The sequence below is a fragment of the Homo sapiens genome, chromosome 12, assembly GCF_000001405.40.
Source record: "Homo sapiens chromosome 12, GRCh38.p14 Primary Assembly".
Taxonomy (NCBI): Eukaryota; Metazoa; Chordata; class Mammalia; order Primates; family Hominidae; genus Homo; species Homo sapiens.
Genome location: NC_000012.12, coordinates 120902671 through 120930198, shown reverse-complemented (window position 1 = coordinate 120930198; position 27528 = coordinate 120902671). Strand labels below are relative to the sequence as shown.

The 27528-nt window shown below is 46.0% G+C and overlaps 1 protein-coding gene, 1 long non-coding RNA gene and 2 pseudogenes across 2 annotated transcripts in view, besides 8 other annotated features; 1 reads left to right on the top strand and 3 right to left on the bottom strand.

The window, feature by feature from the left end:
- Positions 760 to 1567: an enhancer, noted in NCBI's record as "H3K27ac hESC enhancer chr12:121366435-121367242 (GRCh37/hg19 assembly coordinates)". NCBI's record gives its function as "activates a minimal SCP1, AML or CMV promoter by ChIP-STARR-seq in primed H9 embryonic stem cells {active_cell/tissue: H9 hESC(primed)}" and the evidence as "EXISTENCE:reporter gene assay evidence [ECO:0000049][PMID:30033119]".
- Positions 1099 to 1393: a silencer, noted in NCBI's record as "tiled region #8826; K562 Repressive non-DNase unmatched - State 23:Low". NCBI's record gives its function as "represses a minimal TATA promoter and a strong SV40 promoter by Sharpr-MPRA in K562 cells {active_cell/tissue: K562}" and the evidence as "EXISTENCE:reporter gene assay evidence [ECO:0000049][PMID:27701403]".
- Positions 3418 to 3967: an enhancer, noted in NCBI's record as "H3K27ac-H3K4me1 hESC enhancer chr12:121364035-121364584 (GRCh37/hg19 assembly coordinates)". NCBI's record gives its function as "activates a minimal SCP1, AML or CMV promoter by ChIP-STARR-seq in primed H9 embryonic stem cells {active_cell/tissue: H9 hESC(primed)}" and the evidence as "EXISTENCE:reporter gene assay evidence [ECO:0000049][PMID:30033119]".
- Positions 3933 to 5132: an enhancer, noted in NCBI's record as "P300/CBP strongly-dependent group 1 enhancer chr12:121362870-121364069 (GRCh37/hg19 assembly coordinates)". NCBI's record gives its function as "activates an origin of replication core promoter dependent on BRD2, BRD4, P300/CBP, MED14 and CDK7 cofactors, with strong dependence on P300/CBP, by STARR-seq in HCT116 cells {active_cell/tissue: HCT116}" and the evidence as "EXISTENCE:reporter gene assay evidence [ECO:0000049][PMID:35650434]".
- On the bottom strand, positions 12914 to 13544 carry RPL12P33 (ribosomal protein L12 pseudogene 33; annotated as a pseudogene).
- On the bottom strand, positions 14876 to 15807 carry CLIC1P1 (chloride intracellular channel 1 pseudogene 1; annotated as a pseudogene).
- Positions 20034 to 20153: an enhancer, noted in NCBI's record as "active region_7151". NCBI's record gives its function as "activates an Ori minimal core promoter by ATAC-STARR-seq in GM12878 lymphoblastoid cells {active_cell/tissue: GM12878}" and the evidence as "EXISTENCE:reporter gene assay evidence [ECO:0000049][PMID:35858748]".
- Positions 22125 to 25504, bottom strand: XLOC_009911 (uncharacterized LOC105500240). Its single transcript, NR_131215.1, has 2 exons — positions 25427 to 25504; positions 22125 to 22544 (listed from the first exon to the last, which is right to left on the bottom strand). It is a non-coding gene; the product is annotated as an uncharacterized LOC105500240 (long non-coding RNA).
- Positions 25642 to 26001: a silencer, noted in NCBI's record as "silent region_4969". NCBI's record gives its function as "represses an Ori minimal core promoter by ATAC-STARR-seq in GM12878 lymphoblastoid cells {active_cell/tissue: GM12878}" and the evidence as "EXISTENCE:reporter gene assay evidence [ECO:0000049][PMID:35858748]".
- Positions 25841 to 27528, top strand: part of SPPL3 (signal peptide peptidase like 3) — a 141849-nt gene continuing 140161 nt past the window's right edge. The window contains exon 1 of the mRNA NM_139015.5: positions 25841 to 26354. Within this exon, the coding sequence (NP_620584.2) occupies positions 26332 to 26354 (23 nt within the window). The 5' untranslated portion in view covers positions 25841 to 26331. The remainder of the gene's footprint in view (positions 26355 to 27528) is intronic.
- Positions 26082 to 26301: a silencer, noted in NCBI's record as "silent region_4968". NCBI's record gives its function as "represses an Ori minimal core promoter by ATAC-STARR-seq in GM12878 lymphoblastoid cells {active_cell/tissue: GM12878}" and the evidence as "EXISTENCE:reporter gene assay evidence [ECO:0000049][PMID:35858748]".
- Positions 26442 to 26491: a silencer, noted in NCBI's record as "silent region_4967". NCBI's record gives its function as "represses an Ori minimal core promoter by ATAC-STARR-seq in GM12878 lymphoblastoid cells {active_cell/tissue: GM12878}" and the evidence as "EXISTENCE:reporter gene assay evidence [ECO:0000049][PMID:35858748]".

Genomic DNA, 27528 nt, shown 5'->3' with positions numbered 1-27528 from the left:
CTCAGTCTTTGCAACTCTGAAATGGAAATAATAGTTCACAGGAATGCTGCGAAAATTCAATCAGGTCCATAAAGTATGATACAGAAAAGTAGGTGTTCACTAAAAGTTTATGAAAGAGGGGATTCTGAGATCTTACATTTGGAAGGACCCAGTGGGATGCTTCGCTCATAGTGAGTGCTTGAGAAATGTTCATTCTCTTCCCCTGATTTTTTTTTTTTTTTTTTGAGACAGAGTCTCGCTATGTCACCCAGGCTGGAGTGCAGTGGCACCATCTCAGCTCACTGCAACCTCTGCCTCCCAGGTTCAAGCGATTCTCCTGTCTTAACCTCCAGAGTAGCTGGAACTACAGGCGCATGCCACCACATCCAGCTGATGTTTGTATTTTTAGTAGAGACAGATTTTCACCATGTTGGCCAGGCTGGTCTCGAACTCCTGACCTCAAGTGATCTGCCCACCTCGGTCTCCCAAAGTGCTGGGATTACAGGCATGAACCACTATGCCCAGCCTCTTCCCCTGTTTTTTGTATTGTTGGGCAGAGTTCTTGGGTTTTTATTTTGCTTTTGGCTGGGCCAGGGCGGAGCAATCACACCACAGTGCCCTTCAGAGGGGTCCTATGGGCTCTGGAAAGATGCCCCCGATAGCTGTGGAGATGGAATATGAGTGGGTAGGCACGACACTGTGTGGAATGTGTGCAGCCATCCCCCTGAGTTACGTGGGACCCACAGGCTTCCTGGGAAATAAATGACATCATGTCCGGTGTCTGAACCTGGGATTCGGAAAACTCCAAACCAGCCCAACAGGTTTGCCAGGTACAGACAGAAGTTGCAGGGGCGGGAGGGGATGGGGGTGCTCCAGGAGAAAACTGCAGAAGGAAGACACCCAGCCCGCCTGACTTGAGGGCTGAGTCTGGAGATTGGAGAGAAGGGGGGTTCCAGAAACAATCTGAGGCTGTGTTTGAACCCCCAGATTCAGCCCCTCCTCATCCTCCCATAGCCTTCACTGCTCTGAGACGAAGAGGGCTCACTTGGGGCCCAATCCACTCTTTCACAGAGCTCAACAGAAGGCACTGCAGGGGCTGGCTGGAGAGAGGGGTCAGGAGTAAGCGTCCGAGAAAGACAGGCCCTGGAGGGAAGTGGGCCGTGGTGCAGTGCCTGAGACCCACAGACAGCAGGCAGAGGGCCTTCTGCCTGCAAAGAGCAGCTCTAGCCACAGCTGAAGCAGCCCCTTCCAGACCTAGAAGGAGCCCTGCTGACAACCCACAGCCCCATCGGAACCCAGAGCATTCCTGGGATACTTGGTGAAGGGAACCTGTGTGGAAGACAGGACTTCCTTCCTACTGGCCTAGATGTGGGTGTTTGGAGCATCAGGACAGAGGGTGTGGCTGTAAACAGGGCCCCTTTACATATATATATATATATATATATATATATATATATATATATATATAATATATAAAATATAGATAATATAGATATTATATATAATATAGATAATATACATAATATTATAATATAGATATATTATAATATTTATAATATATGATATATCTATATCTAGATATATCTAGATATAGATATATCTAGATATAGATATATCTAGATATAGATATATCATATATTATATATATCTATAATATATAGATATATTATAGATATATATAATATATATATCTATAATATATAGATATATTATAGATATATATAATATATGATATATCTATAATATCTATAATATATGTATACTATAGCATATATGTATAATATATGTATAATATATAATATATAATATATAATATATAATATATCTGTAGTATACATATATAATATCTATATTATACATATATTATATATAATATAATATATCTGTATTATACATATTATATATAATATAATATATCTGTATTATACACATATTATATATAATATAATATATCTGTATTATACATATATATAATATGATATATCTGTATTATACATATATTATATATGATATATCTGTATTACACATATATTATATATGATATATCTGTATTACACATATATTATATATAATATATCTGTATTATACATATATTATATCTATCTATATTATATATAATATATATTATATCTATCTATATTATATATAATATATTATATCTATCTATATTATATATAATATATTATATCTATCTATATTATATATAATATATTATATCTATCTATATTATATATAATATATTATATCTATCTATATTATATATAATATATATTATATCTATCTATATTATATATAAGATATATTATATCTATCTATATTATATATAAGATATATTATATCTATCTATATTATATATAAGATATATTATATCTGTCTATATTATATATAAGATATATTATATCTATCTATATTATATATAAGATATATTATATCTATCTATATTATATATATTATATATTATATCCATATTATACATATATTATATATAATATATCTATATTATATATAGATATATATAATATAGATATATTATATTATATATTATATATTATATATTATATATAGTATATGTATAATATAGATATATTATACGTAATATATATAATATATGTATAATATAGTTATATTATATATATAATATATGTATAATATGATATATTATATTATATATGTATAATATGTATTATATATGTATAATATAGATATATTATATATAATATAGTATAATATAGATATATTATACTATATTATACATGTATAATATGATATATTATACATGTATAATATGATATATTATACATGTATAATATGATATATTATACATGTATAATATGATATATTATACATGTATAATATAGATATATTATATATAATATATATCTATAATATAGATATATTATATATTATATATTGTACATATATTATATATAATATATTAATATACATATATTATATATAATATATTAATATACATATATTATGTATAATATATTAATATACATATATTATGTATAATATATTAATATACATATATTATATATAATATATTAATAATATACATATATTATATATTATATATTATACATATATTATGTAATACATATTATATTATATTATACATATATTATGTAATATATGTTATACATTAATTATATAATATATAATATATATTATACATATATTATATAATATATATTATATATTATACATATATTATATAATATATATTATATATTATACATATTATATAATATATATTATATATTATACATATTATATAATATATATTATATATTATACATATATTATATAATATATATTATATATTATACATATATTATACATAAATTATATAATATATATTATATATAATATATATATATATTTTTTTGAAACAGAGTCTCACTGTCGCCCAGGCTGGAGTGCAATGCCATGATCTCGGCTCACTGCAACCTCTGCCTCCCAGGTTCAAGTGATTCTCCTGCCTCAACCTCCTTAGTAGCTGGAATTACAGGCGTGTGCCACCACACCTGGCTAATTTTTGTATTTTTAGTAGAGATGGGGTTTCACCATGTTGGCCAGGCTGGTCTTGAATTCCTGGCCTCAAGTGATCTGCCTGCCTTGGCCTCCCGAAGTGCTGGGATTGCAGGCATGAGCCAGTAAACTGGGTCCCTTTATATTCACAGCTCATCCATACCAGTTCTGCACCTGCTCTGTGCCAAGCTCTGTGCCAAGCTCCATGCCAGGTGGGCAGCGAGGAGCAACAGGGTAGAGCTTCCAGGGTAGCAAGGGAGATAACAGTCAAGTAACCAGATGAGTCAAGGTAAACTGAGCAGTGATACGGGAATGGCCGAGGTGCTGGAGCTGAGAGGCCAGGGAAGACTCGGTTATTTGAGTCACCATGGAATGAGCTCGGAGCAGAAGGGTCACATCTGTTTCCTTTTCTTGGGTAGCATTCCCAGGCCTCGCCTTGTTGGGGGTCCTTGTCTCACCTGAGAAGTCAGGTTCTCCCAACAGCTGACTCAGGATAGCAGATCAGCTCTGTTTTTCCCCCGTCAAGCCAACGCCAGGGGTTTCTCAGTTGGGGAATGAGGCTGACTACGACAGGATCCTCTGAACCACTGGCAGCGGCCAGAGGGGTTTGAGACATGCTTCTACCTGCCCAGGTAGGCCCAGGCTGTAGGGCAGGGGCGTCACCTATGACTCATCTCAGGCAACGCTGGGAAGACTATTGTCATTCTACCCTAGTGCTAGGCCTCTGGGACAGGATCTGAGCAGAGACGCTCATGAAAATCGGGACTTGTGATCACTGGCACAACCTCCACCCCCATCCCCCAGCAGGGGCCTTGGTGAAATTTGAGATTCATTTCCAACTCCTCCTGTGGGAAGGAGGTGTGGACCTTGATGTCAGCATTTCTTAGGGAATGGCTGGACCTCAGAGGCAGCATCTGAGACACTGGCTTAAGGGGACAGCCACGGGGCAGTGATTCCTCCCAAATACTCACCAGCCATTTGTTTGTTTGTTTGGAGACCGAGTCTCACTTTGTCGCCCAGGCTGGAGTACAGTGGTGTAATCATAGCTCACTGAAGTCTTCACCTCCTGGGCTCAAGTGATCCTTCTACCTCAGCCTTCCCATAGATGGGACTGCAGCGTGTGCCACTATGCCTGGCTAATTAAAAAAAAAAAATACTTATCATGGCACCGGCTAATATTTTTATTTTTTGTAGAGACAGCGTCTGGCTCTGTTGCCCAGGCTGGAATGCAGTGGCATGATTATAGCTCACTCCAGCCTTGAATTCCTAGGTTCAAGTGATCGTCCTGTCTCAGTCTTCAAAGTAGCTGGGACTACATGAGACTACAGGTGTGCGCCACCATATCTGGTTTTGTTTTGTTTTGTTCTGTTTTTTGGTAGAGACAGGGTCTTGTTATGGTGCCCAGACTCGTCTCAACCTCCTGGCCTCAAGCGATCCTCCTGCCTTGGCCTCCCAAAATGCTAGGATTACAAGCATGAGCCACCGTGCCTGGCTACCCTTTGCTCCTTCTTCCTTAGAATCACCTCCTTCAATGCCCACTCAGTTCCTCTCTTTGTGCCCCCATCTCAGTCACTCAAACCCAGACCCTTCCACTTCCTGGGGTACCACATGGCCCTGGATTCAAAGCCTAACCCCACCATCCACCTATGACCTGTCTGCCCTTCCACCATCTCTTTACCTTCTCTATGTGTCCGTTTCAAGTTTTTGTTTTGTTTTGTTTTTGTTTTTTGAGACAGAGTCTCACTCTGTCGCCCAGGCTGGAGTGCAGTGGCGCAATCTCGGCTCACTGCAACCTCTGCCTCCCAGGTGCAAGCAATTCTCCTGCCTCAACCTCCCAAGTAGCTGGGATTACAGGCACACACCACCACACCTGGCTAATTTGTTTTGTATTTTTTTAAATAGAGACGGGATTTCACCATGTTGCCCAGGCTGGTCTTGAACTCCTGAGTTTAAGTGATCTGCCCGCTCCAGCCTCCCAAAGTGCTGGGATTACCACGCATGAGCCACTGCACCCGGTCTAGTTTTATGTTATATAAAACAGGAACAAAGAGTCCAGCTTATCTGGGTGTGGTGGCTCACACATATAATCCTAGCACTTTGGGAGGCTGAGGTGGAATGACTGCTTGAGCTCAGGAGTTCAAGACCAGCCTGGGCAACACGGTGAAAACTCATCTTTATTTTTAAAAAATGAAATAAAACAGGCCGGGTTCGGAGGCTCATGCCTGTAATCCCAGCACTTTGGGGGGCTGAGGCAGGTGGATTACCTGAGGTCAGGAGTTCAAGACCAGCCTGGCCAACATGGTAAAACCCTGTCTCTATTAAAAATACAAAAAATTAGGCGGGGGTGGTGGTGGGCACCTGTAATCTCAGCTACTTGGGAGGCTGAGGCAGAAGAATTACTTAAACCTGGGAGGTGGAGGTTGCAGTGAGCCAAGATCGTGCCACCACACTGCAGCCTGGGTGATAGAGCAAGACTCTGTCTCAAAAAATAAAATAAAATGAAATAAAACAAAAAGAGTCCAGCCTTATAGCGTTGTTATCAAAATTCTCATCCAGCAAATATTATATGAGTTAAGAGATATGAGGCACTTTGAAGAGTCCCTGACACATAGTAAGCCCTCAATAAATGGTAGCTGTTTTACTGTTGCCATAATTAAATAGTTAGCAAGTATCTATTCTACTAGATGTTGGGTATTTGATGAGGAAAACAGACACCGTTGCAGTGATTATGTAAGATAAAGGATGTATAGCACCTGTCACCTAGGGGGGCCCCAATTAATGGTGGGTCCTCCTCTCTTCCTTCCCAGCTCTGAGGCCCCTCCATTGTTCTCATTGTCCACGGAAACCTACAGATCTGACATGTGCTGGAGGCTGAGTGAACGCTTCTGGCCGCAGAGGAACCCCAAAGGACTGCTCCAGGTGCTAGTCATCTTGGGGTGTGCCACTTAGGAAAGGTTTCCATGGGGAGGAGTCCTGAAGAAAAATTTGCCAGATGGGAGGATGAGAGCAAGCTTCGAGGGTGTTGGCTGAGTCCTCTTCTATCCACCAACCTGCTCATCCAGCGTCTAGAAATAGGGCGTTAAAAGTTTGACTTAGGCTAGGGGTGGTGGCTCACGCCTGTAATCTCAGCACTTTGGGAGGTTGAGGCTGGCGGATCACTTGAGGTCAGGAGTTCAAGACAAGCCTGGCCAACATGGCGAAACCCCATCTCTAATAAAAATACAAAAATTAGCTGGGAGTGGTGGCAGGTCCTGTAGTCCCAGCTAATCAGGAGGCTGAGGCAGGAGAATCAATTGAGGTGGAGGTTGTAGTGAGCCAAGATCTTGCCACTACACTCCAGCCTGGGCGACAGAGTGAGAATCTGTCTCAAAAAAAAAAAAAAAAAGAAAGAAAAGAAAAGAAAAGAAAAAGAAAAACCAATTACACTCTGATGAATAATACAATCTTTAAAAAAAAAAAAAAGGTCAGGCACGGTGGCTCACGCCTGTAATCCCAGCACTTTGGGAGGCCGAGGCGGGCAGGCGGATCACGAGGTCAGGAGATCGAGACCATCCTGGCTAACACGGTGAAACCCCGTCTCTATTAAAATACAAAAAATTAGCCGGGCGTGGTGGCGGGCACTGGCAGTCCCAGCTGCTAGGGAGGCTGAGGAACCCGGGAAGTGGAGTTTGCAGTGAGCAGAGATGGCACTTCAGCCTGGGCGACAGAGCGAGACTGCATCTCAAAAAATAATAATAATAAATAAATAATAAAAAATAAAAAAAAGAAGACTTTGACTTAGCCTGGGCAACATGGTGAAAACTTCTCTACAACAAATATAAAAATTAGCCAGGCATGGTGGCATGTGCCTGTAGTCCCAGCTACTTGGGAGGCTGAGGTGGGAAGATGGCTTGAGCCCAGGAGGTTAAGGCTGCAGTGAGCCATGATTGTGCCATTGCACTCCAGCCTGGGTGACAGAGTGAGACAAAAAATGAAAAAAAAATTTTTTAAAAAGAGCTTGCCTTTCTTGGGTCCTCTTAGTTAAGCGTGGTTTCCACTTAGAATCCTCTGTCTCAGGCCCAACTCTCAGGAACAGAGGTGGTGGGCACTTTCAACTATCTAAGTCTGGCTTTGTGATTGTAATATCCCATTCTGGTATTCAAAGTTGCCCTCACAGTGTCACTGAAGGTGTGGCCTCTAATAGGCAAGAAGGGGTAGAGCCTGGGGCTGGGAACATCTGAACCACTCCTAAGAAGTTCTTTGAGGCTTTGGGCTAGATTTAAAATGCTTCCCGTTTACTAAAGAGGGACCCAGCATGGGGGATGGATCCGTTGCAAGGACAGAGGCTGGGAGAGGGGAATTCTGAAATAACTTAGAAGACCTAGGCCAGGTGTGGTGTCTCATGCCTGTAATCCCAGCACTTTGGGAGGCCCAGGCGGGCTGATCACTTGAGGTCTGGAGCTCGAGACCAGCCATGGCTAACATGGTGAAACCCCGTCTCTACTAAAATTACAAAAATTAGCCAGGTGCCTATAATCTCATCTACTTGGGAGGGTGAGTCAGGAAGATTGCTTGAACCCAGGAGGCGGAAGTTGCAGTGAGCTGAGATCACGCCACTGCACTCCAGCCTGGACAACAGAGCAAGACTCCATCTCAAAAAAAAAAAAAAAAAATAGAAGACCTAAGTATAGTCTAACTCTAGAAGCTGGATTTAAGTAGGACATATAACAGTTCATGACTGCAGAAAAACAGAGAGAATATGAATAGTTACAATCTATTGAGTGCTTATCAGGTGCCAGGCACTGTGCTAAACACTTCACATGCATTACCTATCTCATACAGAACAGCCCTTTGAGGCTGGTGTTATTATCCCCAATTAGGAGATAAGAAAACAGTAGGCTCAGAGAGGTGGAGCCACCTGCCCAAGTTCACACAGCTAACAAGCAACAGAGGCAGAATTTGAACCTACATGGAGTGACTCCAGAACCCTCAGTATTAACCTTACCACCAGTGTCACCAACTAGGCTAGGCATGATGGAAAAGTTAGTCTTGGGCTACAGTAGATAGAAGAATACTGGTGTAGGTACTTTGCCTTTACCACAGAAGTTCTCAACCCTGACTGGACATTAGAATCACCAGAGAAACAGAAAAAAAAAAAAAAAAAGCCAGACTACCACTTGATCACAGGAGTTGAGGCTGCAGTGACCTATGATCGTGCCATTACACTCCAGCCTGGGCAACAGAGAAAGACCCTGTCTCTTTTTTTTTTTTTTTTTTTTTAGACGGAGTCTCGCTCTGTCGCCCAGGCTGGAGTGCAGTGGCGCGATCTCGGCTCACTGCAAGCCCCACCTCCTGGGTTCAAGCGATTCTCCTGCCTCAGTCTCCCGAGTAGCTGGGACTACGGGCGCCTGCCACCACGCCTGGCTAATTTTATGTATTTTTAGTAGAGATGGGGTTTCACCGTGTTAGCAAGGATGGTCTCGATCACCTGAGCTCGTGATCCGCCTGCCTCAGCCTCCAAAGTGCTGGGATTACAGGCGTGAGCCACCACGCCCAGTGACCCTGTCTCTAAAAAAAAAAAAGGCTGGATACAGTGGCTCACACCTGTACACCAGCACTTTGGGAGGCCAAGGCAGGAGGATTGCTTGAGTCCAGGAGTTTGTAACCAGACTGGGCAACATAGTGAGACCCTGTCTGTACAAAAAAATTAAAAGATTAGCCAGATGTGGTGACACATGCCTCTAGTCCCAGCTACTTAGGAGGCTGAGGTGGGAGGATTGCTTGAGCCCAGGAGGTTGAGGCTGCAGTGAGCCAAGACTGTGCCACTGTGCTCCAGCCTGGGCCACAGAGCAAGACTCTGTCCCCTACCAAAAAAAAAAAAAATGTTGGCCAGGCACAGTGGCTCATGCTTGTAATCCCAGCACTTTGGGAGGCTGAGGCAGGCAGATCACTTGAGGCCAAGAGTTCGAGACCAACCTGGCCAACACGGTGAAACCCCGTCTCTACTTAAAATGCAAAAATTAGCCAGGCTTGGTGGTGTACGCCTGTAATCCCAGCTACTCAGAAGGCTGAGGCAGGAGAATCGCTTGATCCCGGCAGGCAGAGGTTGCAGTGAGCCACGATTGTTCCACTGCACTCCAGCCTGGGCAAAAGAGCGAGACTCTGTCTCAAAACAAAACAAAAAAGTAGATTCCCGGTCTCTACCACTAGAGCTACTGATTCAGTAGATGAGGCCTAGCATCTCTCTTTTTCATAGTTTCTCAGATGACTCCGATGCTCTGGGTTGAAAGCTACTGCCCTAGCCTGAATAGGAATTTTGAGGGCTCTTACCTCCTTCCAGCCCCAAATACTTTCCAGAGGGCTCTAGGCTGGAATCCAAACCACCTTGAGGTGTTTAGGAATAGTGGTGAACTGGAGCAAGCATAGGATTATGTAATCTGACTGGTTTTAGATTTTGGCTCTTCCACAAACTAGCTGTGTGACCTTAAACAAATGGTTTCCCTTGCAGTGCCTCTGTTTCCTCAGTTTAAAAATGGGCGATAATTATATTAGCCTTAAAGAGGTGCTCTGAGGAATAAAACGGTTAAAAAATGTAAGGAGGTGGTAATAGCACAATAATTTGGTCAGAATAATCATGCCTCAGATAACAATTATAAAACTGAAACAAGGGCCAGGTGCCTTGGTTCACGCCTGTAATCCCAGCACTTTTGGAGGCTGAGGAAGACAGATCATTTGAGGTCAGGAGTTTGAGACCAGCCTGGCCAACATGACAAAACCTCATCTCTACTAAAAATACACAAAAAATTAGCCAGGCTCGTGGTGCACACCTGTAATCCCAGCTGCTCGGGTGGCTGAGGCAGGAGAATCACTTGAACCCAGGAAGTGGAGGTTGCAGTGAGCCAAGGTTGTGCCACTGCACTCCAGCCTGGGCCACAGAGCAAGACTCTGTCTCAAAAACAAAAACAAAAACAAAAAAAAACCTGAAACAAGGCCAGGTACAGTGGCTCATGCCTGTAATCTTAGCACCTTTGGAGACTTAGGTGAGAGGATTGCTTGAGGCCAGGAGTTCAAGACCAGCCTGGGCAACATAGCAAGACTCCATCTCTATCAAAATAGTTTTCAAAAAAATTAACTAGGCATGGTGATATGCACTGGTAGTCCCAGCTACTTGGGAGGCTGAGGCAGGAGGATTGCTGGAGCTCAGGAGTTCAAGGCTGCAGTTTGCTATGATCATACCACTGTGCTCCAGCCTGGGCAACAAAGCAAGATCCTGTCTCTTAAAAACAAAACAATAACAAAAAAAAAAAAACCTGGCCGGGCACAGTGGCTCACACCTGTAATCCCAGCACTTTAAGAGACTGAGGCAGGTGGATCACCTGAAGTCAGGAATTCAAGACCAGCCTGGTCAACATGGTGAAACCCCTGTCTCTATTAAAAATACAAAAATTACCCAGCTGTGGTGGTGCATGCCTGTATTCCCAGCTACTCAGGAGGCTGAGGCAGGAGGATCACTTGAACCTGGGAGGCAGAGGTTGCAGTGAGCTCAGATTGTGCCATTGCACTCTAGCCTGGGCGACAAGAGCAAAACTCCATCTCAAAACAAAAACAAAACAAAACCAAAACAAAAAACAAAAAACCTGAAATAAAATAAACAACAACCAAACCCAAATATTTGAAGGCACTAAAGAACACCTAACAGCAATTAGAAATGTGAGGAAAATCAACTCTTGAAAGGTGGGAGCTGCCCCGTACTAGACTTATATTTTTGTGGTTATTTGTGTGAGGGCACTCTGTAATTTGTGTGGGAGGTGGAAATGCATAGAAAGCTACGGTCTTACTGGTTTGAGGTGCCGAGTACAGAGTTCTAGGCAAGAAGTGTGGCTGGAAAATTAAGAGGGAACTCACAGAAATAAATTCTATAGAGCAAACAAGTCCCAAAATCTGTATATAAACTCTGTCCAAATCCTTGGTTGTCCAACTGCACATATGCACAGGAGTCTCCAGGAGTCCCAGTAAAATCAGCAGCTGGGAGCAAGAACAGAGTAGAAATTCCAGCTACTGCCTTTCACAGGGGAAACAAAGATTGGAGTTTCAGTCCAACCAAGTTAATTGCCTGTTAGAACAAAATTAACACTCTTGGAAGGAACATAACAAAATCCATAGTCTTGACAATGTCCAGCTACAATAAACAAGTACTAGGCATATGAAGAAACAGAAAACTGAATCATACTCAAAACTCACTCTCAAAGAGAAAAAGTTATGACTCAGATGTTGGAATTTCTAATCTTGGGAATTAGCAGCAAGGATTTTAAAGCAACTTTTATAATTATTTTCTCTTTTTGAGATGGAGTCTCCCTCTGTTGCCCAGGCTGGAGTGCAGTGGTGTGATCTCAGCTCACTGCAGCCTCTGCCTCCCAGGTTCAAGTGATTCTACTGCCTCAGCTTCCCAAGTAGCTGGGATTACAAGTGTGCACCACCACACCCAGCTAATTTTTGTATTTTTAGTAGAGATGGGGTTTCACAATGTTGGCCAGGCTGGTCTTAAACTCCCGACCTCAGATGATCTGCCCGCCTTGGCCTCCCAAAGTCCAGGGATCACAGGCGTGAGCCACCATGCCCAGCCTTATCTTCAAGGCCTTACAGGAAAATGTAGTCATAATGAAGGAACAGATATGGAACTTCAGAAGAGAAATTTTAACTATAAAAAAAAACAAATGGAAATTCTAGAACTGAAAAGTACAATAACTGAAATGAAAAATCAACTTGACAGATTTAATAGAATGAAGATTACAAAGGAAGGAGTCAGTGAATATAAAGATAAAGCAATACAAATTATTTATTCTAAAGACCAGAGAGAGAAAAAATAACTGAAAAAATTAAACAGAGTTTTATGGATTTGGGAGGCAACATTAAAAGATCTATATACCCAGCCTGGCCAACATGGTGAAATTCCATCTCTACTAAAAACACAAAAATTGCCAGGCACAGTGGCTCACTCCTGTAATCCCAGCACTTTGGGAGGCCGAGGCAAGCAGATCACCTGAGGTTGAGAGTTCGAGACCAGCCTGACCAACACAGAGAAACCCTGTCTCTACTAAAAATACAAAAATTAGCCAGGCGTGGTGGCGCATGCCTGTAATCCCAACTACTCAGGAGGCTAAGGCAGAAGAATCGCTAGAACCCAGGAGGCGGAGGTTGCAGTGAGCCGAGATTATGCCATTGCACTCCAGATTGGGTGACAAGAGTGAAACTCTATCTTTTTTAAATTTTAAAAATAAAAATAAAAATGTTCTATATACCATATGTAATTTGAATTTCAGAAAAATAGAAGAGGGAGAATGGGGCATTAAAATATTTGACAAAGTATATGCTGATTTCTCAAATTTATTCGAAGACAAATTTTTTTTATTTTTTTATTTTTTCCACAGTTGTCAAATGATCCTTTATTGAAATATTTTTCTTTGTGCTTAACTGGCTGGGCATTCCACAGCACCACTGTTGATGTCATCTATGATGTCTTGAGGGTGGTGGCCATCAACATTATAGCCCACAGGCTGGGCAGTCCCCAAGATCTCTTTAATGGTACCAGATAGTTCTCTGGCTAAGGATCAGTACTGCATCTGTGAAGCAATGTTGACAATCTCATCAAAAGTGATACTCCCACTGTGTTTAATGTTTTTCTGTTTCTTTCTGACTCTTGGTGGTTCCTTGAGAGCTTTGATGATCAGGGCAGAGGCAGAAGGCACCACCTCAATCTGGGCTTGTCTGTTCTGAATGGTCAGTTTCACTGTAATACTCAGGCCCTTCCAGTCACCTGTTGCCTTGGCAATGTCATCACCAACCTTTTTTGGAGACAGACCCCGGGGGCCGATCTTGGGGGCCAGTGCAGAAGTGGCACCGACTTCACCTCCGGTGCACCTCAGGTATACGACTTTGATCTCATTGGGGTTGAACTTTGGCGGCGTGGTGGAGGCGGCTGGTGTTGGATGAACCCGGATTCGAGAGACTGAAGAAAGTTGCACCTTGGCCTCCTCCGAGCCGAAAGCCGAGAGTCGAAGACAAATTTATAGATTCAAAAATCTCAGTGAAGCCCAAGCAGCCTGAATACAAAACAATCTGCCAAGGTATGGCATAGTCATTTTTTTTTTTTTTTTTTTGAGACAGACACTCGCTCTGTCGCCCAGGCTGAAGTGCAGTGGGGCAATCTCGGCTCACTGCAACCTCTGCCTCCCAGGTTCATGCCATTCTCCTGCCTCAGCCTCCCAAGTAGCTGGGACTACAGGCACCCGCCACCACGCCCAGCTAATTTTTTCTATATTTAGTAGAGACAGAGTTTCACCGTGTTAGCCAGGATGGTCTCGATCTCCTGACCTCGTGATCCACCTGCCTCGGCCTCCCAAAGGGCTGGGATTACAGGCATGAGCCACCGCGCCTGGCTCAAATTAGATTTCTATATCCAGTAACACTATCCTTCAAAAATGAAGACAAAACAGAGTCATTGTCAGATAAACAAAAACTGAGTTTGTCACCAGCAGACCTGTATTATAAGGAACATCGGCTGGGCACGGTGGCTCACGCCTGTTATCCCAACACTTTGAGAGGCTGAGAAGGGCAGATCATTTGAGGTCAGGAGTTTGAGACCAGCCTGGCCAACATGGTGAAACCCTATCTCTACCAAAAACACAAAAATTAGCCAGGCATGCTGGTGGGCACCTGTAATCCCAGCTACTCGGGGGGCTGAGCCAGGAGAATAGCTTGAACCCAGGAGGCGGAGGCTGCAGTGAGCCAAGATTATGCCATTGCACTCCAGCCTGGGCAGCAGAGTGAGACTCCGTCTCAGAAAAAAAAAAAAAACATCAAAGAAAGCTCATCTGGCTGAAGGAGATGATACCGGATAAAAACTCAGATCTATAGGGCCAGGCACGGTGGCTCACGCCTGTAATCCCAACACTTTGGGAGGCTGAGGCAGGCGGATCACGAGGTCAGGAGATCGAGACCATCCTGGCTAACACAGTGAAACCCCGTCTCTACTAAAAATATAAAAAATTAGCCGGGCCTGGTGGCGCATGCCTGTAATCCCAGCTACTCAGGAGGCTGAGGCGAGAGAATGGTGTGAACCCAAGAGTTGGAGCTTGCAGTGAGCCGAGATGGTGCCCCTGCACTCCAGCCTGGGTGACAGAGCAAGACTCCATCTAAAAAAAAAAAAAAAAAAAAAACTCAGATCTATAGAAAGGAATAAAAAATTCTTGAGATGGTAAACAGGTGAGTAAATATTTTTAAATTGTATTTACATTTTTTCTTTATTTCTTTAACAGATGCGGCTGTTTATTTATTTTTTCATTTTTTTCTCTATTTTATTACTGAAATATGTTGTCCTGCCCATCCCACCCCACAATAAAAATCTCACCCAGCCCCCCATTTATTTCCCTCATCCCCTCTTCCCCACACCATCCCAGAACAAGTCTTCCAGGATTCCCTGTCCACTGGCCATTTTGGAGTGTGTCCATTGGGTTGCAATATGGAAACCACCAGGGCTTTTGTGGAGAAAATGGAGGGGGTTGAGGGAGTCCCAGGAGGGGCTTATTTGAGGGCATTGGCCCCTTGCTCATAGGCGAGCTGGATCTCTTCATCATCTGGGCAGGTGGAGACGGGTTCTTCCCATGCATAAGCATTGCTCAAGTGCTGACGCGTTCCCGGGAAGGCCTCAGGGATGTTAAATCCCCGGTACTTCTTACACACCACCTGTACTATGTGTAGCTTTGGCAACAGGTTGCAGTCAGCCAGGGTGAGCTCATTGCCATTCAGAAACTTCCTCTGCGAGATGCCCTCATCTTCAGCACTGGTTTCATCTACTTCTTTTGGGAGGGGGGATGTTAAGTAATTGTCTAAAACCTTCAGGGCTTCCAGGAGTCCCTTCTGCAGATTATCATTGAGTGCTGGGTTTGAATTCTTGATGTAGGCAGAAAATTTGGCAAATATGTCCAGCCCAGCTGTGTTGGACTCAGGGTTCAGAGCTGCCAGCTTGGGGTATCTCGGAGGGCACAGTACTGCCTCCAGAAATTCCACCATCTTGTTGGTGTCTGTGTGCACTTCAGTGCCATGCAGCAGGAATGGGAGCTGCCCTCCTGGGCACAGCTTCTGCACTCTCTCAGTCTGTCTCTTGGTGTCAATGGTGGTAACGTTGAAGGTGACTCCTGTGACCCACAGCACTATGAACAGTCTCAGGGAGAAGGGGCGGTTCCCAGTCTCGGCCCCATCACTGCCAGCCTTCACGCACAGTTAGACTGGCAGTTGTTCTTCCGCCGTGGTTGCGTCCCTTTTTTTTTTTTTTTTTTTTTTTTTGAGACAGAGTCTTGCTCTGTAGCCCAGGCTGGACCCAGGCTGGAGTGCAGTGGTGCGATCTTGGCTCACTGCTACCTCCACCTCCCGGGTCCCGGTTCAAGCAATTCTCCTGCCTCAGCCTCCTGAGTAGCTAGGATTACAGGCACGTGCCACCATGCCCAGCTAATTTTTCTATTATTAGTAGAGATGGGGTTTCACCATGTTGGTCAGGCTGGTCTTGAACTCCTGACCTCGTGATCCACCCGCCTGGGCCTCCCAAAGTGCTGGGATTACAGGTGTGAGCCACCGTACCTGGGCCTTCCTTTTTTTTTTTTTTTTTTTTTAATCATATAGGCACACTGACAGATGTGGCTATTTAAGAGCTAAAGTTATGACATTGTATTGTGGGGTTTATAACAGATGTCATTTATATAATAAGAACAACAAAAGAGGGTGGACATGGAAATAAATGGAACGATATTGTGCAAAGTTCCTACATTTTATGGGAAATAGTACAATATTAATTTTAAGTAGATTGTGGGCTGGACGCACTGGCTCACTTCCATAATCCCAACACTTTGGGAAGCCGACATGGATGGATCACTTGAGGTCAAGAGTTCAAGACCAGCCTGGCCGACATGGTGAAACCCTGTCTCTACTAAAAATACAAAAATTAGCTGGGCGTGGTGGTACGTGCCTATAATCCCAGCTACTTGGAAGCCTGAGGCATGAGAATCACTTGAACCCAGGAGGCGGAGGTTGTAGTGAACCGAGATGGAACCACTGCCCTCCAGCCTGGGTGACAGGGTGAGACTCCAGCTCAAACATGATAATAATAATAATAATAATAATAATAATAATAATAATAAATAGGCCGGGCGCGGTGGCTCACGCCTGTAATCCCAGCACTTTGGGAGGCCGAGGCGGGCGGATCACGAGATCAAGAGACCGAGACCATCCTGGCTATACTAAAAATACAAAAAATTAGCCAGGGGTGGTGGTGGGCACCTGTAGTCCCAGCTACTCGGGAAGCTGAGGCAGGAGAATCGCTTGAACCTGGAAGGTGGAGCTTGCAGTGAGCCAAGATCGTGCCATGGCACTCCAGCCTGGGCGACAGAGGAAGACTCTTTCTCAAAAAAAATAAAATAAAATAAAATAATAATAATAATAACAATTTTAAGTAGATTGTGATAAGTTAAAGCTCATGAGATTCACACTCACTACAGCAGCCACTTCGACTACAATTTAACGAGGGTACAGCTTTAAAAAAGCCAGTAAAGCCGGGGGCAGTGGCTCACACCTGTAATCCCAGCACTTTGGGAGGCCAAGGCAGGTGGACTGCCTGAACTCAGGAGTTTGAGACCAGCCTGAGCAACATGGTGAAAACCCATCTCTACTAAAATACAAAAGATTAGCTGGGTGTGGCAGCGTGTGCCTGTAATCCCAGCTACTCAGGGGGCTGAGGAAGGAGAACTTCTGGAACCCAGCAGGCAGAGGTTACAGAGAGCCGAGATTGCACCACTGCACTCCAGCCTGGGCAACAAGAGCAAGACTCTGTCTCAAAAAAGAAAAAAGCCAGTAGAGATATTAAAATATAATCATAAAAAATTACTCAGTTAACTCAAAAGAAGGTAGGAAAGGAGAAACAGAGGAACAACAACAAAAAAGATGGAATGAGTAGAAAACAAATAGCAAAATGGCAGAACCAAACCTAAACACATCAACAATTACATCAAATGTAAATGAAATAAATATTCTAATTAAAACACAGAAATGGTTAGGCAGGAGCCGGGCACTGTGGCTTATGCCTGTAATCTCAGTACTTTGGGAGGCTGAGGCTGAGGCTGAGGAAGGTGGATCACCTGAGGTCAGAAGTTCAAGACCAGCCTGGCCAACATGGAGAAACCCTGTCTCTACTAAAAGTACAAAAATTACCCGGGCGTGGTGGCAGGCGCCTGTAATTCCAGCTACTCATGTGGCTGAGGCAGGAGAGTGGCTTGAACCCGGGAGGTAGAAATTGGAGTGAGCTGAGATTGCACCACTGTACTCCAGCCTGGGGGACAGAGTGAGACTCTGTCTTGAAAAAAAAAAACGAAAGAAAGAAAGAAAGAAAAAGAAATGGTCAGGCAGAGCAAAGAAGAATATATAAGCATATGCTATCTACGAGGCACATACTTTTTAAAAAGTTTTATTTATTTATTTTTTTTAGACAGTCTCACTCTGTTGCCCAGGCTGGAGTGCAGTGGCACCATTTTGGCTCACTGCAACCTCCACTTCCTGCATTCAAGCGATTCTCCTGCCTCCGCCTTCCTAGTAGCTGGGATTACAGGTGCATGCCACTACCCCCGGCTAATTTTTGTATTTTTGTAGAGACAGAGTTTCACCACATTGGCCAGGCTGGTCTCGAACTCCTGACCTCAGGTGATCTGCCTCCTTGGCCTCCCAAAGTGCTGGGATTACAGGTATGAGCCATCGCGCCTGGCCTAAGGCACATAAATTTATTTACTTATTTTTGTTTTATTTTTTCATAGAGTCTCACTCTGTTGCCCAGGCTGAGTGCAGTGGCGTGATCTGGGCTCACTGCAACCTCTGCCTCCCAGGTTCAAGCAATTCTCCTGCTTCAGCTTCCCGAGTAGCTGGGACTACAGGCATGCGCCACCACACCTGGCTAATTTTTTTGTGTGTTTTAGTAGAGACGGGGTTTCACCGTGTTGCCCAGGCTGGTCTTGAACTCCTGAGCTCAGACAATCCGCCCGCCTCAGCCTCCCAAACTGCTAGGTTTACAGGCGTGAGCCACCACGCCCAGCCGGCACATACTTTATTATTATTATTTTTTTTTTTTTTTTGAGACGGAGTCTCGCTCTGTCTCCCAGGGTGGAGTGCAGTGGCGCGATCTTGGCTCACTGCAAGCTCCTTCTCCCTTGTTCACACCATTCTCCTGCCTCAGCCTCCTGAGTACCGGTGACTACAGTCACCGGCCACGCCTGGCTAATTTTTTTTTTGTATTTTTTTAGTAGAGAAGGGGTTTCACCATGTTAGCCAGGGTGGTCTCCATCTCCTGACCTCGTGATCCACCCGCCTTGGCCTCCCAAAGTGCTGGGATTACAGGCATGAGCCACCACGCCCAGCTGGCACATACTTTAAATACAAACCCACACTGAGGTTGACAGTAAAAGGTTGGAAAAATGATCTAAAATAAAAACACACATCATAAGAAAGCTATATTAATATCAGATAAAGTAGACTTCAAAACTAAGAACATAAGACAGGTATTTCATAATGATAAAAGGGGCACTTCATTAAGAAGATATAACAATTTTAAGTATCAACCTAATCATAGTTCCAAATACATAAAGGAAAAATTGATATAATTAAATGAAGAAGTAAATTCATAATTAGAAATTTACTTATCTCTAAATAATTGAGCTGCTAGACAAAAAAATCAGTAAGGACATAGAATATCTGAACAACATTATCAGCCACCTTGAATTAGTTGACTATTATAGAACACCGCACCCCGAAATAATAGAATTCTTCTAAAGTGCACCTGGAATAGTCACTGCAATAAACCATATGTTGGCTATAAACAAGTTCCAATAAGCTTCAGAAGACTGAAATCTTACAGAATATATTCTCTGACCACAACAGAATTCAATTAACATCAACAACAAAGAAGATATCCAGGAAAGCCCCAAGTATTTGGAAATTAAACAAGATTCTTCCAAAAAATACATAGTATCCATGGTATACCCAAATAAATTGAAAACATGTCCACATGAAACCTGCACACAAACCTTGAGAGCTGCTTTATTCATACTTGCCAAAAGTTGGAAGCAACCAAAGTGTCCTTCAATAGGTGAAGGGATAAACGAACTCTGGTACATTCATACAATGGAATATTATTCAGCAATAAAAAGAAATGAGCTATCAAGCCACGAAAAGACATGGAAAAATATCAAAAGTATACTGCTACGTGAAAAGCCAGCCTGAAAAGGCTACACGCTGTATGATTCCAATGATAGGACATTCTGGAATAGGCAAAACTATGCAGACAGTAAAAAGATCCGTGGTTGCCAGAATTTGATGGGGAGGGAGGGATGAATAGGCAGAGGGTGGGAGATTTCTGGGGCTGTGAAACTATTCCGTATGACATTATAATGGTGGTTACATACCATAGTGTATTTGTCAAAGCCCGTAGACTATACAACATGAAGAGTAAAACCTAATCTCATTATTGGCTCATCAACTGTAACAAATGTACTTACACTAATATACCATGTGATTAATAGGGGAGATTTACTGGAGGGAGAGGCCTATATGGGAACTCTCTGTACTTTCCCATCAATTTTTCTGTAAGCCTGAAACTTCTCTAAAAAACGTTTTCTGAAAACCCATGTTCAAAGAATGCAAGTGACCCTGTGTCTGATAAGCTCACCATATACCTTACTTCTGATCTGTCTTCCCGTATCTCTCTCCCCTTAAGAACTCTCACTCTTAGTCAAGGAGGGAGTTACAGAGGACAGAAGTGGGTGTTGAGTATGACATCAGGCAAAACAAGTTGTTCTGGATCCTGGCTTGCCTTCCCCTTCACTCAAACATTCATTCTACAGACACTGAGCTTCTATTCTGGGCTAATCTCTCTGCTGGGCACACAGGATATAACTGGCAGCCAGTTACAATCCCTTCCCAAGAAGCATTCACAAGCTAAGGGAGAAACTGACAAGTAAACAGTCGATGACAGTTCATTATGCCAAGTGTCATGTGGGTAAATTCAGAGGACAATGAGAATGCAGAGAAGTATCTAACCCAGCCTAGGTTTTGGTCAAGTGAGATTTCCTGGAGGATGTGACATTGCAGTCAAGCCCCGAAAACTATAAGCAGCAGTTAAGAGGCAATGGGAGGCCGGGCGCTGCGGCCCACACCTGTAATTCCAGCGCTTTGGGAGGCAAAGATGGGTGGATCACTTGAGATCAGGAGTTTGAGACCAGCCTGGCCAACATGGCCAAAGTCGTCTCCACTAAAAATACAAAAAAAAATTAGCTGGGCATGGTAGTGGTGGGCAACTGTAATCCCAGCTACTCGGGAGGCTGAAGCAGGAGAATCACTTGAACCCAGGAGGCGAAAGTTGCAGTGAGCTGAGATGGCGCCACTGCACACCAGCCTCGGCGACAGAGTGATACTTTGTCTAAAAAAAAAAAAAAAAAGAAAGACCCAATGGGAAACCTCCTGGACTTGATCAGAGGATTGGAAGCAAAAAAGAACACAGCCCGTGGGGAAGCTACAAGCAGGTCACTATGGAATATAAACAAAGTGCACATGCATGTGTGTGGGGGCGAGGGGTGGATGACAGAGGGGAGAAATGGCCTGGAGGGACTGGTAGAGCCAGGTCAGACCTAAGCCTTGATGTTCTCAGAAACAATGCTTAAGCAGCCCAGACAGACCTTGTAATGCCAGCTTCCTGGAGTCTGTGCCTAAAGCAGAGGACCCATCCTGGGGGAGACTCCCCAAGTCTCTTTTGAACACACTTGGTGGAAGAAGCTATCCTATAATTACTGTGGTGATAATTAGAGGCACCTGCATGGCCTCTTTCTTTCTTTTTTTTTTTTTGAGACGGCGTTTCGGAGTTTCGCTCTTGTTGCTCAGGCTGGAGTGCAGTGGCACGATCTCGGCTCACCGCAACCTCCGCCTCCCGGGTTCAAGCGATTCTCCTGCCTCAGCCTCCCGAGTAGCTGGGATTGCAGGCATGTGCCACTACCACCCGGCTAATTTTTGTATTTTTAGTAGGGATGGGGTTTCTCCATGTTGGCCAGGCTGGTCTTGAACTCCCGACCTCAGGTGATCTGCCCGCCTAGGCCTCCCAGTGTGCTGGGATTACAGGCATGAGCCACCGCACCCAGCCTCCATGGCTTCTTTCAGCAAATATTGCACAAGCTGTAGCGCTCTCACCTGCAGTGGGGTGCAGAGAGACAAAGCACCCCTCCTGGGGGAGCCTAATGCCTGAGTCTCTTGTGAAGCACACCTGACTCCCTGGCTGAGGCCCAAAGGTGTCACAGATACACCTGGGGCTGCTATAGCTTGGAGCTGAGTGCTGCTGGCAGGGAGACTAAAAGTCACTCCCAGTCGGGTGCGGTGGCTGACGCCTATAATCCTAGCACTTTGGGAGACCAAGGTGGGCAGATTGCCTGAGCTCAGGAGTTCGAGACCATCCTGGCCAACATGGTGAAACCCCGTCTCTACTAAAAATACGAAAAATAGCTGGGCATGGTGGTGGGTGCCTGTAATCCGAGCTGCTTGGGAGGCTGAGTCAGTAGAATGGCTTGAACCCAGGAGGTGGAGGTTTCAGTGAGCTGAGATTGCGCCACTGCACTCCAGCCGTGTGACAGAGCAAGACTCTGTCTCAAAATAAAATTAAAATTAAAAAGTCACTCCCCAGATGCCACAGTCTGGGCAGCTCCCAGGCAAGCCACAGGCTTCAGATTTATTCCAACCTTGCCCTCTGGGGAGACTTCAAGCCTGTAGAGATGTTGACTAGGATCTAGAGGTGCTGTCTACTTCTCGGCAACCTTAGCCTGAGATGCTCAAGCCATTAGTCTCTGGGCCCACACTTCATCTTCCTGGGACCAGGTACACGGTGTTTCCATGGCCTGGACATCATCCCAGCCCTGGCAAGTGCTGTGTAGCTTCTTCTAGGGTCTGCAGCCACATTTCCTCAAGAAACACTTCGGAGGTCTCTGGTTCAGATAGAGAGAAGAAAACCTCTCCTCATTCACCATACCTTCACCAAACCCCTTCTCCCTCCTTTCTTCCACCAGATTTTTCCCACTGAAAAGAATGGTCCCTTTGCTTCTGGGAAGGCCTTGACTTTCCTACTCTAGCAGCTCCCGTTTCATTCATCCAACACCAACTTTCCACTTGGCTTTGACTTCTATGACTCACTGGGAACCAAAGCCCAAGTGAATCGCCCAGAGGCTCAGTGTGGCATTTTCGTTTCAAAAGTGACATGTCTGGTCTGTTTTGTTCTTAGCTCTCCAAAGAAAAAGCTTCTGCATCACCCAAAGCCACTTCCAACGGCTTCTGGCCTTTCCCATGGGACCTAAAGCCTCACTCTGTGCCCCTTTGAAACTCAGAATGACTGCGTCACGTTCAAGGACACAGTTGGCTTTATGTAAAAGCACTTGGCAAGGTTGTGAGAGCTAAATGAATGTCAAGAATTTAGCCCCTGGCCGGACGCGGTGGCTCATGCCTGTAATCCCAGCACTTTGGGAGGCCGAGGTGGGCAGATCATTTGAAGCCAGGGGTTTGAGGAGTTTAGCCAACATGGTGAAACCCCATCTCTACTAAAAATAAAAAATTAGCTGGATGTGGTAGCGCACGCCTGTAATCCCCGCTACTTGGGAGGCTGAGGCAGAATTGCTTGAACCTGGGAGGCAGAGGTTGCAGTGAGCTGAGATCACGCCACTGCACTCCAGCCTGAGTGACAGAGCAAGACTCTGTCTCAAAAACAAACAAAAAAAGTAATTAAATTAAAAAAATTTTTTAAAAAAGAATTTAGCCCCTTTGCCTTCTCATCTCCCCTTAATATCCCTGCATCTGGTGGGTTTATGGCTGGACAGATCTTTGCAGGCCAGTGTCTTCTTGTGAATAGTGAGACTAAGGGTCCCTGGTGATTTGATATTTTCTTGTTGCCCTGCCTCAAACCCTCCCCTGGACCTCGATCTTTTTTTTTTTTTTTTTTTTTTGAGACGGAGTCTCACTCTGTCGCCAGGCTGGAGTGCAGTGGCGTGATCTAGGTCCACTGCAACCTCCACTCCCCGGTTCAAGCGATTCTACTGCCTCAGGCCTCCCAAGTAGCTGGGACTATAGGCATGGGTCACCACGTCCAGCGAATGTTTGTATTTTTAGTAGAGATGGGGTTTCACCATGTTGGCCAGGATAGTCACGACCTCTTGACCTCATGATCCACCTGCCTTGGCCTCCCAAAGTGCTGGGATTACAGGCGTGAGCCATCGCGCCCGGCCTGGACCTCAATCTCATCAGTGAGCCTTTTCCCAGGGCTCTCTGATAGAGCTTTGGAGGAAACACTTGGAACCTAACTGGTCCTGGCACCTGGCAGTGGGGGAATAAGGAAGGAGAGCTTTGCTTCTGAAGGGAAAGTGTACTTGGCTTTCTCTTTAAAGGGTTTCCCTTGGGGAACAGGCAAGCGGCAGATGTATGGGCAATGGCCAACTGATCCATTTGGAGATAGATTCAGGGTGTGGTGTTCCCTGTAAGCCTGGGCAGGCCCTGGGAAACTGGAGCAGAGCTAAATTCTGGCCTAAAGTTGGGCAAGCTGCAGAGAAGCTTGAGTACGTTGGTTTCAGGTGTGTGAGTTTTGCCTTCTGCAGAGAAACAGGGGGGTGAAGGGTGGGGGTGGAGGGGTGTCCAGGAGGGTTAGTGTATCTGTTGCCCAGGCATGTTTCTAAATTCTGAAGCTGCACTGGTTAATCATTTTTATTCATGAACACAGTAACTGGCAAGGAGGCTTAGCTGGGCCCTCAAAGTCTGGCCTCAGTGCACCTTCTCAGTATATTTTCTCAACACTCCAGCACAAATCACCCATCCCACTCTCGGATTCAAGCTCACCAGGAATTGGGCCTTACTTCATGCCATTCTTTCTTTCTAGAATGCCTTTTCTTTTTTTTTTTTCTTTTTCTTTTTCTTTTTCTTTTTTTTTTTTTGAGACAGAGTCTCGCTGTTGCCCAGGCTGGAGTGCAGTGGCGCAATCTCGGCTCACTGCAAGCTCTGCCTCCGGGGTTCACGCCATTCTCCTGCCTCAACCTCCTGAGTAGCTGGGATTACAGGCGTCCACCACCACGCCCGGCTAATTTTTTGTATTTTTAGTAGAGACAGGGTTTCACCGTGTTAACCAGGATGGTCCCGATCTCCTGACCTCATGATCCACCCACCTCGGCCTCCCAAAGTGCTGGGACTACAGGCGTGAGCCACCGCGCCCGGCCAAAAGAATGACTTTTCTTTGATAAGCCTCTCACCCTTTCAGACGGCCTCATCCACTCCTGGGGAAGCATTCCGCAGTACCTGGGGCCTCAATTAATCTCTCTCTTCTCTCTCCATCTAAGCTCCAGATTCACTTTGTTGGTCTCTGGTCTAGCTCTACCGTGTTTATTTCTGTGCCGGTTTCCAGACCTCCAAATGGACGGTTTCCTGAGCCTTCTGCCCTTGCTGTTCCCTCTGCCAGGAACTCTTTTCCTGTGGATCTTTGCAAGGCCAGCTCTCTGTCATCATTCAATATCAGCTCAAATGTCACCTCCTAAGCGAGGCCTTCCTTGACCACCCTATCTAAAGTAACCCACACCTCTGCTCACTCTCTGTCCCCTCACCTTGTGTTACAAAATGTGTTTTTGTAAAACTTAGCAGCATCTGAAATTATCTTATTTGTGGGCTTGGACTATGTCTCTTCCTTTAGAATGTAAGCTCTAGGAAGGCAGAGTGAGTTGACACATGGTTGGCACCCAACAAATATCTGTTGATTGATTCTGTGAAGGCAAGCGTGGGGTATTCGACTTGGTGCCGGGCCTGGGCGCAATAAAGGTTGGCTGCCTGGAATATTTGCTACCTGAATGAATGAACCAAGGAACATACGAACGAAGGAATGCAGCCCTCTGCCTGTTGACTGACAGGTTGACTGACAGTTGGGGGGCCCGTGGCCAGCAGACTGTTGACTGACGGTTGACAGCTGAGTGGCAGCCAACAGACGCGCATCGGGGTTCCCGATTGGCTGGTGCAGCAGCCCCTCGGAGAGGGGCGGAAGAGGGTACCCGAGGCGACATCTCCGCGTGGGGAGGGGGGCGGCACCAGGCAGCGGGAGGCGGCCCAACTGCTCTGGCTGTGCGAGCAGCAGCCGCCTAGAACCCAGGAGCCGACGTCTCTGCGCATGGGCCCGGCTCGAGGGGCGGGGCGCGCATCACGTGAGCGTGTTTTGGGCACGTGACCCGCGCGGGGCCAAGGCTCGCCCCCGCCCCCGCCCCTCCTCCCCTCGGCGGGTGTGATCGAGTGGCCTCGCCTCATCGCCTAGCGCCCCCCTCAGTCGCCGCCGCCTCCGCCCGCCGGCCATGTCCCCCGGCCGCCGCCGCCGCCGCCCGAGCGCGGCGCTCCCGCGGCCCCGCGCGCAGTGAGCGCGGGCCCGTCTTGCCGTTCGCCCGCCCCAGGGCCCCCTTGTTCTCCGCGCCGCCGCCGCCGCCATGTTGGGTTTGGAGCTGCAGCGGAGCCGCCGCCGCCGCCGCGGGTGAGGGAGGCCGAGAGCGGAGCCCGCCCCGCCCCGGGGCCCAGGGAGCGGGGCCGCTTCGGAGCCCGGCCTCTCCCCGCCAGCCGCCTTCCCGGCCCGCCGTGCAGCCAGCGAGCCAGCGAGCGAGCAAGCAAGCAAGCACCGGACCCCGGCCGCGCCTTCAGCTACGGCCCGAGCGAGCCCGCCGCCGCCGGGCCCGGCCACAGCCTGCAGCGGAGCCCACGAGAGGCAGCGCCATGGCGGAGCAGACCTACTCGTGGTGAGTGCGGGGCTCCGGGAGGCCGGGAGGCGGCAAGGGTGGGGGTCGGGGCGCCGGCGCGGCCCGCCGAGGGGAAGAGGAGGAAGAACAGGTGCGTGTCGTGGGGGGGGGGCGCGGGTTGGGGTGCACGCCCCCCTCTTCCCCACCGGAGGGGGCGGCTGGCGCGCACGGAGGGCGGTGAGTGGCCGGGGACCTGGCGTCCGAGAAGGGGAATGGAGGAGGAGGCAGCGGCGGATGTCATCTGGCTATGGGCGGAGCAGGTGATGGAGAAGGGGAGCATGACCCCGGGGGTGGGAATCCCACGGATGGGAAGTTGAATCCGACAGGCACCCCGGAACTGACTCGTGGGGGTGTTTCCTGGGCAGGAGGACTCGAAGGGGTGGAGAGAGGCAGGCCAGGGCAAAGGTGGGCCGCTGGGCTGAGAGGAAGCTCTAGTGAGAACAGGTGATAGAGGCAGAACTTCTAAGTTGGGAGAGTGGAGCGGCCGCCGCTTGGCTCTGGGACAGGGAGCGCAGGGAGAGTTGGTGAGGTGGGCAGAGGCCCGGGAGTGAGGGGAGGAAAACTGCGGGGGTAGAGTCCACGAACCTTGGAGGGGAGTCACTGGTGAAGAGGTTGGAAGAGGAGCCTGAAGAACCTGTTTCCTTTTCCTTCTGGAAAAGGAATTCGTTGGTGACAGTGGGGCATGGGCAGAGTCTTTGTAAGGGTTGGTACTATTATTTTCAGAGGAATGGCGCCCAGGGCCAAGTGTGGAGGTGGAGGACCTGCAAGTTAAGTTCATTTCTGTGGGGCTTTTAAAGTTAGTAAGTAGCTCGTTAAGGGCCGAGAAGCGAGAAGCTACTGTGTAGTTTATGGGGTGACAACCTACATATCCGGAGAAGGGAGTGCCAGGGTTTGGGGGAAGGAACATGAGGGGTCTCCCTTTAGCATGTAGAGGTGGGATATTTGCAGGACGGGTTGAAGGAATGATGGCAGTATCCATGAAGAGTGGAAATCGGGTAGTGAGAAGGAAGTCATAGCTGGAGAGTGAGGAAGCAAGAAATGGCATGATCGTAGGAGTGGGGGACCTGATTGCAATTTAGAGAAATGGTTTGAAGATGGTTTACTCTTGAAGCAAATGTGGTTTGGGACAGAACTGTAGACATTCCCTTCTTAGAAAAGAGCATAATAGAATGGG